The sequence below is a fragment of the Homo sapiens genome, chromosome 5 (assembly GCF_000001405.40).
Source record: "Homo sapiens chromosome 5, GRCh38.p14 Primary Assembly".
In the NCBI taxonomy this organism is placed as follows: domain Eukaryota; kingdom Metazoa; phylum Chordata; class Mammalia; order Primates; family Hominidae; genus Homo; species Homo sapiens.
The window spans coordinates 36,119,559-36,137,671 of NC_000005.10; the positions used below are offsets into that span (position 1 = coordinate 36,119,559).

The window sequence follows — 18,113 nt, forward strand, 5'->3', positions numbered from 1 at the left end:
GGCTACTCTCAGCCTGCATCCACACAGCTGCACATTGCAGGAGAAAGACACCCCACCTTGTTGACTGGCCTCACTTTAAATTCTTAATCACTAGCTTCAAGTGGGTCCTCAGTACTGCCTCACTAGCCTACTATAATTCCCCAATCTTCTCCCATGCCACTCTCCTAGGCAACTATTTTGCACCTTCTCTTCCCTCCTCAAATCTCTAAAATCTCCTCTCCTATACTTACTCTCCACATTTCATTGAGAAAACAGAAGCGATCAGAGAATTTTCCCAAGTTTCTAACACTACACCTTCTCAGCTAGTTACATCTGTGCCTTACCTCCACCATTCTCTTCATTGTTCACTATTTCCCACCATCTCATCTCTACTAGTCATGAACATTGTCTTAGAAATTCTCTATTGTCTTATCAAATTCTATGAATTTTTTCTTTTCTTTCTCTTTCTTTCTTTCTCTCTTTCTTTCTTTTTGTCTTTCTTTTCTTTCATCTCTCTCTCTCTTTATTTCTTTTTTTTTTTTGACGGAGTCTCATTCTGTCCCCAGGCTGGAGTGTAGTGGTGCAATCTTGGCTCACTGCAACCTCTGCCTCCCGGGTTCAAGCGATTCTCCTGCCTCAGTCTCCCAAGTAGCTGGGACTACAGGTAGGCTGGAGTGCAGTGGCGCAATCTCGGCTCACTGCAACCTCCACCTCCTGGGTTCAAGTGATTCTCCTGCCTCAGCCTCCCGAGTAGCTGGGACTACAGGTAGGCTGGAGTGCAGTGGCACAATCTCGGCTCACTGCAACCTCCGCCTCCTGTTCAAGTGATTCTCCTGCCTCAGCCTCCCGAGTAGCTGGGACTACAGGCACGCACCACCACGCCCAGCTAATTTTTGTATTTTTAGTAGAGACGGGGTTTCACCATGTTGGCCAGGATGGTCTCAATCTCTTGACCTTGTGATCTGCCCGCCTCGGCCTCCCAAAGTGCTGGGATTACAGGTGTGAGCCACCGCGCCTGGCCTCAAATTCTATTATATCATTTACTAATTACATGTGATAATTTCTCTTGACTATGCCCCCAATCCTCTTTCAGCTACTACCCCTTTTCTCTGTTCCCTTTTATAAGGAAAACATTTTTAGAGTTTTCTAGTCTGTCTCCAATTGCTCCTCTTCTTATTTCTTTTAAATTACAGTCAGACTTTTTTATCCTCTCCCCTCACTTCTCTAAAATCCAATGGTCAGGTCTTAATATATATGATCCTTAATCTATGTGCAACATTTGAAAAGGTACTTTATATACTCTTTTCCTCAAAACACTTCATTGTCCTAATTTTCCTATCTCACTGGCCCCTCCTTTTCTAGTCTTTTCTGCTAGTTACTTCTCATCCACCTAATCTCTAAATTCTGGAGTGCCTCAGGCTTGGTCCTCAGACTTTTCTCTTTTCTCTATCTCAATTACTTCTTTATTGATTTTATCCTGACCCCATGGTTCCCTACACATTGATGGTACCCTAATTCATATCTGCAATTCAGACTCCTCCCTTGAATTTCAATTTCTATAATCAACTGCCTATTCAGAATCTTTATGCCTTTATATGTTTATTGTCTGTTTTTCTCACTCCACAAGGGCAGGAATTTCTGTCTTTTTAAACTGATATATACCAAGCTACCCAGCACCCAATAATACATAGCACTAATGTACCCAAATATTTGTTGAATGAATGAAAACAGATAACACATCATTCCTTCATTTAATTAGGAAGGATTTTTGTTAAAGGAGTTTTCTGAGATATTTGTTATAGCCATTAAGTCTTCATACTCAAAACCAAACATGCAAAGGAGAATCAAGTGAATATAACAATTTTTTTAAAATAAATAAGGTAAATAGAAGTTTTAATACTATGACACTTTGGTACTTGCTTTAAGTTTCTTCACACTAAATTTGACAATACTTGAAGGGATTGCCATAAATTAGCAAAAAGGAGAAAAATGATAACTACAAAGTATAGGTTTTATAATAAGACTAATAAATGTTAATAATCAAAGAGGACTACTTAAGCAAATATTTCAGTAGTATGTCAAGACTGAAGAAGAGACCCAAGCTTGTGATGTAAAATTACTTAAAATTCTAACTATTTTAAGTACAGTCATGTGTCACATAACAACATTCCAGTCAATGATGGACTGCATATACAATGGTGATCCCATAAAATTACAATACTGCATTTTTACTATTATCTTTTCTATGTTTATATACACAAAAACCACTGTGTTACAACTGCCTACACTATTCAGTACAGTAACATGCTGTATAGGTTTGTAGCCTAGGAGTAATAAGCCATACCATATTGCCTACCTGTACTATACCATCTAGGTTTAGTACATACCCTATGATGCTCATGCAGTGATGAAATTGCCTAACAATACATTTCTCAGAGTAATCCCAGTCATTAAGCAATGCATAATTGTATATATTATGCATTATAAAAAATATGCTTGATGTATACATGTTTTTTAATAGAATTTTTATTATTTGTGAAGTAACAGTGGAAACTGATGGATTATATGTTATATGATAAGTAAAACAGTTATTTTGGGGAAATGTTACCAGATACTTAATATCACATGGTATAAATCAAATAATACAAATAAAATTCAACTTTGCATTGGTGAAAATACATAACTTCTTTCTACAGAAAACTTTTCATCATTAAAGTTTGAAATTTATATCAAATTACATACCAAATGTAGGATTATAAAAATATTGGATAAATCGATTTTCTGGCTCTGGCGATTGAAAGGTGTGAACAAACTGATGAGTAGCACTAGTTTCATTTTTTGCTACATCTTCTAGATAAAATGCTTGTTCCAAAAGAATCTGCCATTGTACTTGAGTTCGACGGTGTCTCTGAACTGAATAAATCACCTAAAAAAGAGAATGGGGGTAGACCTGGCAGTGTTCTGATCCAACAGTGGTTCAACTCTCCACTAGGGAGCATGTTTGGATTGTCATAACAATGGGAAAGTGCTAGGGCATTTACTGGGTCAGGCTGAGAATATTAATGTTCCAAAATGATGTAACAGTTTTATATAATGTAACAGTTATGCTCAGTGAAGAATTCTCCCTCCCCAAACGCCAATAATACCCCTGCTGGTATACACAGAGATAAAATATTTCAAAGAATGATAAGGACGGGATTAAAGGAAGTTTTAAATACACATTCACTAAAAATTCCTTTTTTTATGAGCAATGATTAGAAGTCTAATTAAAATCATCATTAAGTAAAATACTTATAATTAACAAAGTTACCTGTTTATGCAGTTTTACCAGACTTTTTTCACTTGGATAGATACTATGCTTTTCATCAAAATCTTCATAATCATCCATGTTCCTACCCATTTTTTCCTGATACTCTGTAGGGCACTAAAAAAAAAAAAAAGTAGATTTTTAAAAATCTTAATTGTAAAAAGATAAAAATTTATTTTTATTAAAAATCTTTCATTCTTGAGCAGTTCTAATTTTCTCAAAAACATCTTCCTACTTTATTGTCATCTCTAGTTAGACTTCATTTGCTGATATTTTCTTGAAAATGTCTTAAAAGATGTACTGAGTTTCTTCTCACCTTTATAATATTAATCTTTGTGTTCATATATACCAGATAGGTATAGATGGCTATAGGCAGGGGAGCTTACCTGCAGGAAGCAACTAGTATTTGAGAAGATTATTCTAAGTAGGATAAATTATTTTTCTAGCTAAAGAATGAAGCAAAATCATGACAAATCCAAGATGCTGAATTTTTGAAAGGCATAGCACAGAGAAATAAATACATGCATTTAAAGTCATCTTCCATACTACTACTCACTTATTACCTATATGAACTTGGGCAACTTAGTTAACCTCTCTTAGTAGTTCTCAAAAAGTAGCAAATGTGAGATAAATAGTTAGAAAAGTGATTCCATGAGTATTATCTTAGCCAAACAGAACACTACACAAGAATCAGTATAACAGATTTAAAATCTAGGAAAATAAATGTTTCCATGGTTCTGTGGGTTTAAAAGACAATTGGGGAACTGCAAATAACCATTTTTGGAAGTATATGAATACCCCTAATTCAATACCAATGCATCAAAACCTTAACTTTATTAAATATAGTTAAGTTTATTATAAATATAGTAAATATATAAATATAAATATAGTTAAATATAGTATAGTTTATTAAATGTCTATGTTAACATCATTCATTTTATGATATATGTCATGAATATATTAATGAAATATATTTGTAAAATAACGTGTAGGCAGCTGATTGTAAGATATTACTGAGGCCTTGGTTTATTTTCTTATAGGAGATATGCCTTTAGTGAACATATACAATGACATTTTAAAGGTTTATTTCCATCATTGTCATGACAATCCTTATATATTACTCAACCTCTATCTCCATATTTCAATAGAAAATACTGCCAATAATTAGTGTTAAACTTGCAGTAATTAAAAAAATTCAAAGTACAAATGGTGTTGGGTTGATATTTCTATGAAAATGAATTTAGAAGACCTCAGCTATAGGCTGTTTTCATACTTTTCTGGTACTTTTGGTATAATATTATATAAGTGTATATTTCAAAAGGAAACAGACAAGATGATTTCATTACCTTTTTAAGTATTGTATCAACACATTTTCTCAATGGGTGATTATACTTGATGCTTTCATTCACTTTACGAACCTCCTATAAAAACAGTAAAATAAATAAAAATATTTCCATTTCTACAGATCACATATTCCAAATGAGAATGCATTAGGTACTATATATTTTCTCACAAGTTCAACTTCAACACAAATTACTTTGCATTACATGAATAAAGGTTCTTAAGAACACAAGTAAAAATACAAAGTCACTGAATAGCTATTTCTATACCCTGAACTTTTCCTTACTTTCTAGATTCACTCTCTCATCACTTCATTACTTGGTACACAAAAAAGAATAAGCACTATTTAAAAGTCCACAAAAGATCAGACAAACTTTATGGTCCTAAAAGAATAGGGATATGTTCCTCTGCCTTACTCACCAAGATCAATGATCTCATTATATAAAATACAGTGAAAAACCAGAGGAAGCAGAAAAGGCTACAAATGTCACAAAGTGCCAGCTCTTTTCCAATAGAAGAGTACTCTAGAGCAGTCATGATTGATTAACTCCATACTTGCTTATCAGGAGCACACTATCTACTGGCGGGCGCAGTGGCTCAGGCCTGTAATCCCAGCACTTTGGGAGGCTGAGACAGGTGGATCACTTGAGTCCCAGAGTTTAAGACCAGTTTTGGCAATACAGTGAAACCCTGTCTCTACCAAAAATACAAACATTAGCCAGTCTCATAACCTGGTCTCTAAATAAATAAATAAATAAATAAATAGATTAAAATTTAAAAATAGAATAACTTAAAAACAAACAAACAAAACAGCATACTATTTGCCAGTACTGTGCTAGGTGTAAGGCCCCCGTAATCCATACTGGAGGGTGGGGAGAGAAGACAAGGAATTGTCAGTCTTAAAATTTCAGTCCAGTAATGGATAATTAAATAAGCAATTCTGAGTATAAAAGGCACAAAAGGGTTAAAGAGAAGACTCTTTAGAACCAGTAGTTCCTAAGGAATCACAATATTCTATAATATTCATGAAATTTTTAAGAAGTTGAAACCACTGTTTTAGTCAGGTGAAATAGCATGTTCACAGCCTGGAAAGCATAAGAGAAGTGAGCAGGATATTTAGAAGAACATTCTGGGGCATAGAGTAGAGCAGGGTTTTAAGGGATACAAAACTCAAGGCGGAGAAGCCATCTAGCACATAGACAAAATTGCGAAAAAATATTTGTAATTTATATGACAGACTCATTATCCTTAATATGTGATGAGCTCTTACAAATCAACAGAAAAATGGGAATATAGAAAACAATACAATTGGCCAATAAATGTCTAAAAAGATATCTGAGCTCGCTAAAAACAGTTACAGATTTTAAAAATAAGAAGCTTTTTTCAAAATTGATATCATGTAAAGAGGTAAGACTGGGAAAACAGGCCCTCCTATACACAGCAAAAAGTGATATAATCTATTTAAAGGTAATTTCACAACATCTATTGAAATTTAGAATATGCATACTTTATAAATAATCTGTACCAGTAGACACTATTCCTGTCAAGGAATTTAGCTTAATGAGGAAAACAAACATAAATAAAAATGATGTGGAAACTGCTGTCAAAGTATGAGGTGCTCTGAGAGGGGAGAATGTAGATTCTGATTAACTGATTATTTAAAATGAGATGAAACAAAATATATAGAAGTCAGTCAACCAAAGGGAGAGACTAGAATATTCCAGGCAAAGAGACAGGGACAGGACACATAAAGGCCTCCAGGCGTAAGTGAGTACATTATTTGAAGGGACTGAAAAAGTCCAGTGTGATTACAGGGAAAGGGAGATTAAGGGTCTGCATAGCACTGGCTCAGGCTGAAAGAGCAAGATCAAAGTGATCCTAGAAGCCCTTAATCATGGTTTATTTTGAGGTTAATGTGTGATGCCTATACATGACAGTGACAAGATAAGACTTGGGTTTTTAAGAGGTTACCTGGAAGCATCATTACATCTATTTTCCATTACTAAGCTGCCTTAAAGTTTCTTGACTTGTTAGCACAAATTTATCATACTTTTAATATGAACTAAACAATTTGTTTATATATTATATGTGAAATACCATGTTTTTTTCTTTAAATTATTTAGCCATATTAAAAAACAAGTACTGAAACAATTAATTAACATTTGCTATATCTATTATAAATTTAGGGTTCCTTCAAAAGTTCATAATTTTAATAAAGCATGGAAAGTATTTGAAATATACTGTTTGCCTTCTTCATACAAAATAATGTAACTTTGAGCTCTTTCATTACTGTGTCTTGTCAAATTCTTTTCTAAGCAGGTCAGACAGCATTCGTGAAGGGAGGCTAACAGGCAGTTTTCAGTGGAAAAAAGTAGCTGTTTCTCCCTCCCTAAAATTCTCTATCTAGAAAAATGATAAAAGGTAGAGGTGACCTTTTTGGCCATCTAGCAAATACCTTTTGAATGATTTGACATAGTTTATAAGTTTTATTAATGCTTCAAAGAAAGGTAATAGACACACAAATGCATATATCAATTTCAGAGAGAAACATATCATAAAAATACCAAACAGTTTTTATAAAACTACATTTGGGAGATTAAATGGATAGCTGAAAAAATAATTACCAATAAAGTGATTGAAGTTTGTTATCTGTCAAATGACTGGACTTCTCAGTATGGCATTCAAAGCCAAGATATAGCTTTATCTTTCCAATGTAAACTTTATGCTCAAACTAATTTGGTTTTAAAACTTCCTGATATCTGCCCAGAATGTTATCAGCTATCAAAATTCTACCCATCCCGCAAGGCCCAGGCCATACTTCATGTCCTTTGACCATTATTCAGTAGTGATACCTCTCCATACTAGAGCATTTTCATCATTCATGTCACATTTACCATAAACTGTAAGGGACTCTGTCCAATTTTCTACTCTAGAAAGTCAGTAGAATAGGAATTTCTATTCTGGCCAGTTCTGCATAGCACTTAACATGGCAGGAAGACAGTAAATATTTTTTAAATGATAAATACATTTCTCCTCAAGTTTATAAGTTTCCAGATATTCAGAAAAGCAGAAAGAATCCCAAAATACCTTGAAGTATATGGCCAGAGAAATTCATACACAGGAGGTGGAGCAAGATGGCTGAACAGAAGTCTCCACTGATTGTCCTCCTCACAGGAACACCAAATTAAGCAACTATCCACACAAAAAAGTGCCTTCATAAAAACCAAAAAACAAGGTACAACCTCAGCCACTGTTGGCTATAGTACTAAGTGGGCTCTTGGGGCCCCAGATTGCAGGACTCGGCTCTTAGACAGCATTGTTGAACCTTCTCTGGGTCACATGGGAGTCCAGTGCCCTGAAGGGAAAGTCCCAGGCATGGCAGCATTCACCAAAAGCTGACTGAAGAGATCTTGGGCCTTGAATGAACACTGGAGGTAATGAGGATATACTCATTGTGGCCCTGGGGCAGTAGTGGCCATGGAGAGAGACTCCTCTGCTTGTGAAAAGGGGAGGAAAGTGTGAGAAGGACTTTGTCTTGTGGCTTGGGTACCAGTTTAGCCACAGGTAGATTCCTACAGTTTTTGGCTCCAGGCCCTAGCTCCCAGATGGCATCTCTGGACACACCCCAACTCAGGGAGAACTTGCCACTCTGAAGGGAAGAACAAAAGCTCGGGTGGCTTTGCCACCTGCTGACTGTAGAGGACCAGGGCCTTGAGCAAACATAGACGGTAGCCAGGCAGTGGTTACCGTGGGCCTTGGGCGAGACACAGTGCCATGATAACTTCAGGTCTAACTCAGTGCAGTCCCAGTGATGGTGACCACAGGGGTGCTTGAGACACCCCTCCCCCACCTCCAGGCAGCTCAGGACAAAGAGAAAGACTCCAGTTGTCCGGGAGAAAGTAAGGGAAGAGAACAAGAATCTCTGCCTGGTGCTCCAGAGAATTCTTCCAGATCTTATCCAAGACCACCAAGGTGGCACACATCTCCAAGTTTGCAAGAACCACAGCATTATAGGGCTTGGGGTGTCCCCTAATATAGATACAGCTGTAGTGACCAAAAACTTAGATTACAATACCCAAGTCCCTTCAAATACCTGGAAAGCCTTTGCAAGAAGGATGGCTACAAATAAGCCCACACTGCAAAGACTATAAAGAATACCTAACTTTTCAATGTCCAGACACCGACGAACATCCACAAGAATCAAGCCCATCCAGAAAAACATGACCTCACCAAATGAACTAAATAAGGCACCAGGGCCAAGTACAGTGGCTCACTCCTGTAATCCCAGCACTTTGGGAGGCTAAGGCTGGAGGTCACTTAAGCTCAGGAGTTTGAGAACAGCCTGGGCAACATGGTGAAACCCTGTCACTAGAAGAATACAAAAATTAGCTGGGTGGTGGTGTGTGCCTGTAGTACCAGCTACCAGCTACTTGGGAGGCTGACGTGAGAGGATGACTTGAGTCCAGGAGGTGGAGACTGCAGTGAGCCAAAATCATGCCACTGCACTCCAGCCTGGGTAACACAGTGAGACCCTGCCTCAAAAAAATTAAATAAAATAAATAACAAGGCACCAGGGACCAATCCTGAAGACACAGAGATATGTGCCCTTTCAGACAGAGAATTCAAAATAGCTGTTTCAAGGAAACTCAACAAAATTCAAGGTAACACAGAGAAGGAATTCAGAATCATATCAGGTAAATTTAACAAAGCTGTTGAAAGAATTAAAAATAATCAAGTAGAAATTCTGGAGTTGAAAAATGCATTGACATATTGAAGAATGCATGAGAGTATCTTAACAGCAGAAATGATCATGCAGAAGAAAGAATCAGTGAGCTAGAAGACACTTGAAAATTTGGCTATTTGAAAATATGGTTAGAGGAGACAAAAAATAATAAAAAAGAATGAAAAGTGTCTACGAAATCTAGAAAATAGCCTCAAAAGGGCAAATCTAAGAGTTCTTGGCCTTAAAGAGGAGGTAGAGTGAGAGATAAGGGTAGAAAGTGTATTCAAAGTGATAATAATAGAGAACTTCCCAAACCTAGAGAAAGATATCAATATTCAAGCATGAGAAGATTATAGAACACCAAGAAGATTTATCTCAAATAAGACTATCTCAAGACATTTAATAATCAAACTCCCTGAGGTCAAGGATAAAGAAAGGATCCTAAAAGCAGCAGGAGAAGAGAAACAAATAACACACAATGGAGCTCCAATATGTCTGGCAACAGGCTTCTCAGTGGAAACCTTACAGGCCAGGAGAGTGACAGGATATATTTACAATGCTGAAAGAAAAAAAAAAAACTTATCCTAGAATAACATATCCAGTGAAAATATTCTTCAAACATGAAAGAGAAATAAACGTTTCCAGACAAACAAAAGCTGAGAGATTTCGTCCATACCAGTCCTGTTCTATAAGAAATGCTAAAGGGAGTTCTTCGATCTGAAAGAAAAGGACATTGATGAGCAATAAAAATCATCTGAAGGTACAAAACTCATTGGTTATAGCAAGTACACAGAAAAACAAAGAATATTATTAACACTATGACTGCGGTGTGAAAACTACTCATATCTTGAGACAAACCAATGAAAAATAACCAACCCAAATGTCCAACAATGATTGACTGGATTAAGAAAATGTGGCACATATACACCATGGAATACTATGCAGCCATAAAAAAGGATGAGTTCATGTCCTTTGTAGGGACATGGATGAAGCTGGAAACCATCATTCTCAGCAAACTATCGCAAGGACAAAAAAACCAAACACCGCATGTTCTCACTCATAGGTGGGAACTGAATAATGAGAACACATGGACACAGGAAGGGGAACATCACACACCAGGGTCTGTTGTAGGGTGGCGGGAGCGGGGAGGGATAGCATTAGGAGATATACCTAATGTAAATGACGAGTTAATGGGTGCAGCACACCAACGTGGCACATGTATACATATGTAACAAACCTGCACATTGTGCACATGTACGCTAAAACTTAAAGTATAATAATAATAAAATAAAATAAAGAAAAATAACTACAACAACTTTTTAAGACACAGATAGTATAATAATACATAAATAGAAATAACAAAAAGTTAAAAATTGGAGGGATGAAGTGAAATCTAGAGTTTTTATTAGTTTTCTCTGTTTATTTTTGCAATCAATGTCAAGTTGTCATCAGTTTAAAATAACAGGCTATAAGATATTACTCACAAGCCTCAAGTAACCTCAAACCAAAAAGCATACAACAGATACACAAAAAATAAGAAGCAAGAAGTTAAAACATACCACCAGAGAAAATCACCTTCACAAAAAGGAAGACAGGAAGGAAGGAAAGAAAAGAATATCACAAAACAACCAGAAAACAAATAACAGAATGGCAGGAGTAAGTCCTCACTTATCAATAATAACACTGAATGTAAATGAACTAAACTCTTCAATCAAAAGACACAGAGTGGCTGAATTGATAAAAAAGACATTACAACTGATACTGCAGAAATTCAAAGGATTATTAGAGACTTCTAATGAGCAACTATATGCCAATAAATTGGAAAACCTAGAAGAAATGGACAAATTCCTAGACACATACAACCTACCAAGATCAAACCATGAAGAAATCCAAAACCTGAACAGATTGACAACAAGTAATAAAATCAAAGTCATAATAAAAAGTCTCCCAGCAAAGAAAAGCCCAGGACCCAATGGCTTCACTGCTGAATTTTACCAAACATTTAAAGAACTAACACAAATCCTACTCAAACTATTCTGAAAAACAGAGGAGGAGGGATACTTCCAAACTCAATCTACGAGGCCAGTATTGCCCTGATTCCAAAACCAGAAACAGACACATCAAAAAAAGAAAACTGCAGGCCAATATCCCTGATAGACACTCATGCAAAAATCCTCAAGAAAACACTAGCAAAATGAATTCAAGAACACGTTGAAAAGGTCATCCATCTGATCAATTCAGATTTATACTAGGAATACAAGAATGGTTTGACATATGCAAATCAATCAATGTGATATATCATATTAATAGAATGAAGGAAAAAAGCCATATGAGCATTCCTATTGATGCTGAGAAAGCATTGATAAAATTCGGCATCCCTTTATGATAAAAACCCTAAAAAACCCTGAATATACAGGGAACATACCTCAACACTATAAAAGTCATATATGACAGACCCACAGCTAGTATCATACTGAATGGGGAAAAATTGAAAGCCTTTCCTTTAAGATCCATAACAAGACAAGGATGCCCACTTTCACCACTGTTATTCAATATAGTACTGGAAGTCCTAGGTAAAGCAATCAGACAAGAGAAAGATATAAAGGGCATCAAAATTGGAAAGAAAGAAGTCAAATTATCCTGTTTTCAGGTGATAAATCTCACATTTGGAAAAACCTAAAAACTCCACCAAAAAACTATTAGAAGTGATACACAAATTCTGTAAAGCTGCAGTACACAAAATCAACATTCAAAAATCAGTGGCATTTCTATATGTCAACCGTGAACAATTTGAAAAAGAAATCCCATTTACAATTGCTATAACACAAATAAAATACCAAGGAATTAGCCAAATAAGTGAAAGATCTCTACAATGAAAACTATAAAACACTGATGCAAGGAATTGAAGAGGACACAAAAAATAAAAAGGTATTCCATTTTCATGGATTGGAAGAATCAATATTGTTAAAATGTCCATACTACCCAAAGCAATCTACAATTTCGATGCAATCTCTATCAAAATACCAACGACATTCTTAACAGAAATAGAAAAAGCAATCCTAAAATTTATATGGAACCACAAAAGAGCCTCAACTGCCAAAGCTATCTTGAGTAAAAAGTGCAAAACTGGAGGAATCACATTATCTGCCTTTAAACTACATAATAAAGTGATAAACAAAACAGCATGGTGTTAGGATAAAAACAGACCAATGGTACAGAATAGAGAACTCCAAAATAAATCCATATATCTACAGTGAACTCATTTTTGACAAGGGCTCCTAGAACATACAATGAGGAAAGGATAGTCTCTTCAATAAATGGTGCCAGGAAAACTGGAAAACTGGATATATGCAGAAGAATGAAACTAGACCAGTTATCTCCCCATATATAAAAATCAAATCAAAATGATTTAAAGACTTAAATCTAATAACTCAAATTATGAAACTAATACAAGAAAGCATTGGAGAAACTCTCCAGGATATTGGACTGGGCAAAAATTTATTTAGTAATAACCTACAAGCACAGGCAATCTAAGCAAAAGTGAACAAATGGGATCACATCAAGTTAAAAAGCTTCTGCACAGCAAAGGAAACTATCAACAAAATGAAGACATAACCCACAGAATAGGAGAAAATATTTGTAAACTATCTTTCTGACAAGAGGTTAATAACCAGAATATATAAGGAATTCAAACAACTCCATGAGAAAAAAAATTTAATAATAAGATTAAAAATGGGCAAAAGATTTGAATTTCTCAAAAAAAAAAAAAAAGACATACAAATGGCAAACAGGCAAAAACAGGCATTTTATAGTTTTCATTGCAGAGATCTTTCACTTATTTGGCTAATTCCTTGATATTTTATTTGTGTTATAGCAATTGTAAATGGGGTTTCTTTTTCAGATTGTTTGCTGTTGACATATAGAAATGCTACTGATTTTTGAATCACTGATCATCAAAAAGATGTAAATCAAAGCTACAATGAGATATCATCTCACCCCAGTTAAAATGGGTTTTATCCAAAAGACAGACAATAATGTAATGTAAATTAGTACAACTACTATGGAGAACAGTTTGGAGGCCCCTCAAAAAAATTAAAAAAAAAAAAAAAGCTACCATGTGTTTCAGCAATTCCACTGCTAGGTATATAACCAAAACAAGGAAATCACTATATCAAAGAAATGTCTGCACTCCCATGTTTATTGCAGCAGTACTCACAATAGCCAAGATTTGGAAGCAACCTAAGTGTCCATCAACATATGAATGGATAAAGAAAATGTGGTACATATACACAACAGAGTACTATTCAGCCATTAAAAAGAATGAGATCCAGTCATTTGCAATAATATGGGTGGAGTTAGAGGTCACTATGTTAAGTGAAATAAGCCAGGCACAGAAAGACAAACTTCACATGTTCCCACTTATTTACGGGGCTGGGAGGGGTTATGGGTAGAGGGGAGGGTGGGAAGTGGGAATGGTTAATGGATACAAAAATATAGTTAGAGTGAATAATATCCAGTATTTGATAGAACAGGGTGACTACAGTCAATAATGTAATTGTACATTTTAAAATAACTAAATGAATATAATTGGATTGTTTGTAACATAAAGAAAAATAAATGCTTGAGGTGAAGAGCATGTACGAAAATTTTTTAAAACCCCAGAAAAACAAACAAAAAAGAAATTCATACCTGAGAAATCATGCATTGTTTTTGATGGAAAGAGGTTCAGAGTTCTCCTGCTATCTATGTGTACTTACTGCTATTTTCAAAACATCCATTTTTAAAGAGCAGTTTCTTATCTAAACTTTTTTACACAGCTTAAAACTTAAGAATACTATACTAAAATAGCAGAGAAGTCCAATGCTGGTCCTTAATTTTCCACATCCTATTTCTAAGCAAAGGGCTCCTATTTTAAAATAACAACAACAAAATCTATTTTATTCAGACAGCAAAGCTTCCTCTAGGGAAAATCCATAACTCAAATAATAGCTGGGTTTATTTTTTTTGCAGGAATGTTGAATAAATTAGTGAAATCCAAATTCCTCAAATCTGAAACAACTGAATTTAATACCAACTTTTGGATGGAACGCTATCAAACTTAAACTTAAATTAATTTCTTTTATCAAATATAAGTATCTTATTGAAATATCAGTTTTCAATTTTTTCAAAAATTCAAAATTTCAAATATAAATGTAAAATTTATCAAATATAAATAATGTTCTTTCAAAAGACATAATAACATTCATCATGGGAATGTTGAATATAACAGGAAATTTATTCATTTCAATTTAAATAATACTATTTACAGACTCACTCCTACATTTAAATCAATATTTTCTGCTGTAGTTCTTACATTTTGTAGAGAATAAATGCTGCAAAGCCAACGTAAAATTTTCGAATCACAGTATACATTCATTTATTCATTTATTCATTCATTTAAAAAATGGTTGCTGAGTGTTTAAGAGTCTGGACAATCAGGGAAGATGTTATGGGTTGAATTGTGTCCCCTGAAACCTAACCTCCAGTATCTTAACATGTGATCTTATTTGGAATAGGGTTGTTGCAGATTTAATTAGCTAAGTTAAGATGAGGTTATACTGGAGTGGGATGAACTCTAATCCAATATGACTGGTGTCCTTACAAAACAATGAAGTTTGGACACTGGCACGCAGGGAGAACACCATGTGAAGATGAAGGCAGGGGTCTACAAGTCAAGGAATGCCAAAGATCGTAGACCACCAGAAGACAGAAGACAAACATGGAACAGATTTTCCCTAGAACCCTCAGAAGGAACCAACCCTGCAGATACCTTAATCTTGAACGTTAGTCCCCAGAACTGTGAGCCAATATTTTCTATTGTTTAAGCCACCCAGTTTGTAGTAGTTTTGTTACAGCAGTCCTAGGAAGCTAATAAAGCTTCCCTGAAGAATTATCATTTATGTTAAGACTTGAAAATGAAATAGGAATTAGCTGAAGAGAGTGCTGAAAAGAGCATTCTAATAGTTTGGGAATAGCATGCTCAAAGATAGAAAAGAAAGACAATGTGTGTAATAATTAAGCATATGGTCATCAAGCCAGATCAATTCAGTCCACTACTTGTTCTCATACTAGAACACACCCACTCTCATTCATTTATTTACTGGCTATGGCTGCTTTCATCCTACAATGACAGAGTAGTTGCAATAGAAATGACATTGCACACAAAGCCTAAAATATTTACTATCTGGCCCTTTACAGAAAAGTTTGTCAGTCCCTGTTTAAGGCAAGACTGCCTGGCTCTTATCACTTCCTAGCCATGTAGACATGAGAAAGTTACTTAATCTCTCCGTGCCTCATATTCTTCATTTATAGAATGGGGATTTACAAAAATCTCTATCATAAAGTCATGAGAATTAAATATATGTATAGTGCTTAGAAAGTCCCTCTTAGGCAAATAGTAAGTCTATATAATTGTTTACTATAATTATCACCATTACTAAGTTTGAGGAACGAAAGTTGAGTGTTAGGTAAATATTAAGTCTATAGAATTGTTTATTATTTCATCAACATTAGCAAGTTTGAGAAACCAAAGATGACCAGTGCAAGAAAATAGAGGCTTGGGATACAGCTGGAGAGCTAAACATAGGCCAAATTATTTTTCTGTAGGCTGCATTAAAACATTTTGGAGTTTATTCTAACATGAATGAAAAGCCTTCAACAGGAGTTTTAATTTGGAGAGTATCATCAGCTGAGTAGCATATTTTCCCTGGGAAGCAAAAATGTGAGGTGACTACAATAATCTCTTTAAATCCATAACAAAATTTTTATTTAACACAGAAAAATTTTATAATTTGTTGTATATTTTTATGTACAGTATTGAAAGTTATACTTTCAACAACTTTGTGAAACTAGGTTAAGTCATCAAGTAAAATGAAGTGTCTTATTAAGATTACAGATAGGAAACAAAACTTACCAATACAAACTCCCATGCAAATTGTTCTTTAAAGAGGTTTCCAGAATTGGTGGGATTACCTTAGGTTAACCTTTCGGAAATAAGTGTCCTCTGGTCATTATTCTCAGTTCTACTATGTTAGGGTAACCATACAATTTATCATTTAATCTCGGAGACTTTTGAAAATTAAAGAGGGTACTATTAAAAGTTACCTCAAAATAATAGGCGTAGCCCTGCACTATTGAATATATTTTCCATGAATCTCTGTCAGACAGAAGATGGACAAGACACATCATGAGGCTGAACTGCTAAAAAGTCATCCTGGATGAGACATCCTGAAGGATTGCACAACACCAGTTTTGCAGTCTGAAGCCCATCAATGCACTAACAACAACAACAAACCAAAAATGACTAAAAGGGGATACATATGACTTAGTGACTATTGCTTATAAGGTTCAAACTTGCTTACCTCCATGGCATCTTCCAAATTCTCTTCTGCATCTGCTTTCTCTGTCATCAGTTTGGCTGCCTTAAAATACGTTTTCATAAGTAGATAACCCCTTTTTGCTCCATTCCAGTATGATCGAGGAATTTCCACCAAGCCATACCCCAACAACAACACAAGAAGAAACAGACCCCATGTATTTGCAGCAGCTATCCCAATTGTCTGAAGCTGGTTCCTAAGAAAGGGAAACAACAGATAATATGTATATTTTAATGGAAAGATAAAATGCGACTGCATAAATAGACTTTAACACAGGAGACACTGTTTCTACTGCAGTTAAAATTAGCATCTAGAATAATTCATGGCAATAATATGTATATATTTTCCCAAAGGAAACATTTTTCATTAGGTGATTTCTTATTCTATATTAAACAAAAGAAGTTTGAAAATGTTTCAAATTAACCTGTGTTGCTGACCTAGCAAATCTCAGGAATACAATAGTGAGACCTAGCACTGCTGATCTATTCCTAAATTTTCAGATGTAGACCTTCACATATATTACAAATCATAAGTATAAAACAGATTTCAATTTTATTGAAATATCTAAATCCAAGGTAACATTAAGAACAAATATGCCTTCAAATTATAATCAAAACAAAAAAAATCACAAGTTCCAATGAAAAATAAAACCAGTTATTTTATCATAAAAATTTTGAAATTCTATCCAAAAATCATAAGGGTTATTACTTTTAATATATAGCCATTAGACTAATCATTAATCTTTTGCCTAAAATCTATATTTAAAGATGTCATTCCATATTTTCTTAGTAATATGGATTATTCACATATTCTTTTGGGGAAATCCATAAAATATGTAACAATATATTTCTCAATGAAATGTCTTTTTACCTGCACATATGAAATTAAAAATGATTTTTTAAAAATGCAAACATACATTAAAGCAATGTTAAGAAGACTACTTTTCTTACCATTCTAAATGTAAATGTGGGTTTACAGCTACATAAATTAAAAATGCTCCAAAAATCAGCAAATAGGTGCCATAGTAGATTGCATTCTCAATTAGTGCAGTTTTGATCTTTCCAGTGATGGAAAACCCTCCTGATCTTGCATATGACTGCATAAAAGGTAAGAGAATCCTAGATGGATAGAAAAAATATGATTAAAAACCCAAATAATTGATATGTCTGTATAATCTCAAAGTGCCAGAAATATATGAATCTCAATTTTAATGAATAGGTCTTCTCATTAATAAATGTTTATAAGTAATCATGAATACTTAATAACTATAATAGATGACTGAGTATTTTTGTAATATAAAATTTTAGGGAAAGCAAATGGGTCTTTAAAGCCTTTATGAAGAGTCTGG

General features: G+C 34.7%; 1 protein-coding gene across 3 annotated transcripts in view; it reads right to left on the bottom strand.

The window, feature by feature from the left end:
- The window catches only part of LMBRD2 (LMBR1 domain containing 2), a 53,481-nt gene that overhangs the window by 21,152 nt on the left and 14,216 nt on the right, over positions 1-18,113 (bottom strand). For 2 of the 3 annotated variants that reach the window (NM_001007527.2, XM_011514162.3), the window contains exons 5-9: positions 17,716-17,883; positions 16,751-16,961; positions 4,633-4,707; positions 3,290-3,403; positions 2,722-2,905 (exon numbers count right to left, since the gene is read on the bottom strand). In NM_001007527.2, coding sequence (NP_001007528.1) covers positions 2,722-2,905; positions 3,290-3,403; positions 4,633-4,707; positions 16,751-16,961; positions 17,716-17,883 — 752 coding nt within the window. Of the gene's footprint in view, positions 1-2,721; positions 2,906-3,289; positions 3,404-4,632; positions 4,708-16,493; positions 16,666-16,750; positions 16,962-17,715; positions 17,884-18,113 lie in introns of those variants that run through there. The other variant, XM_047417877.1, reaches the window with a different exon arrangement.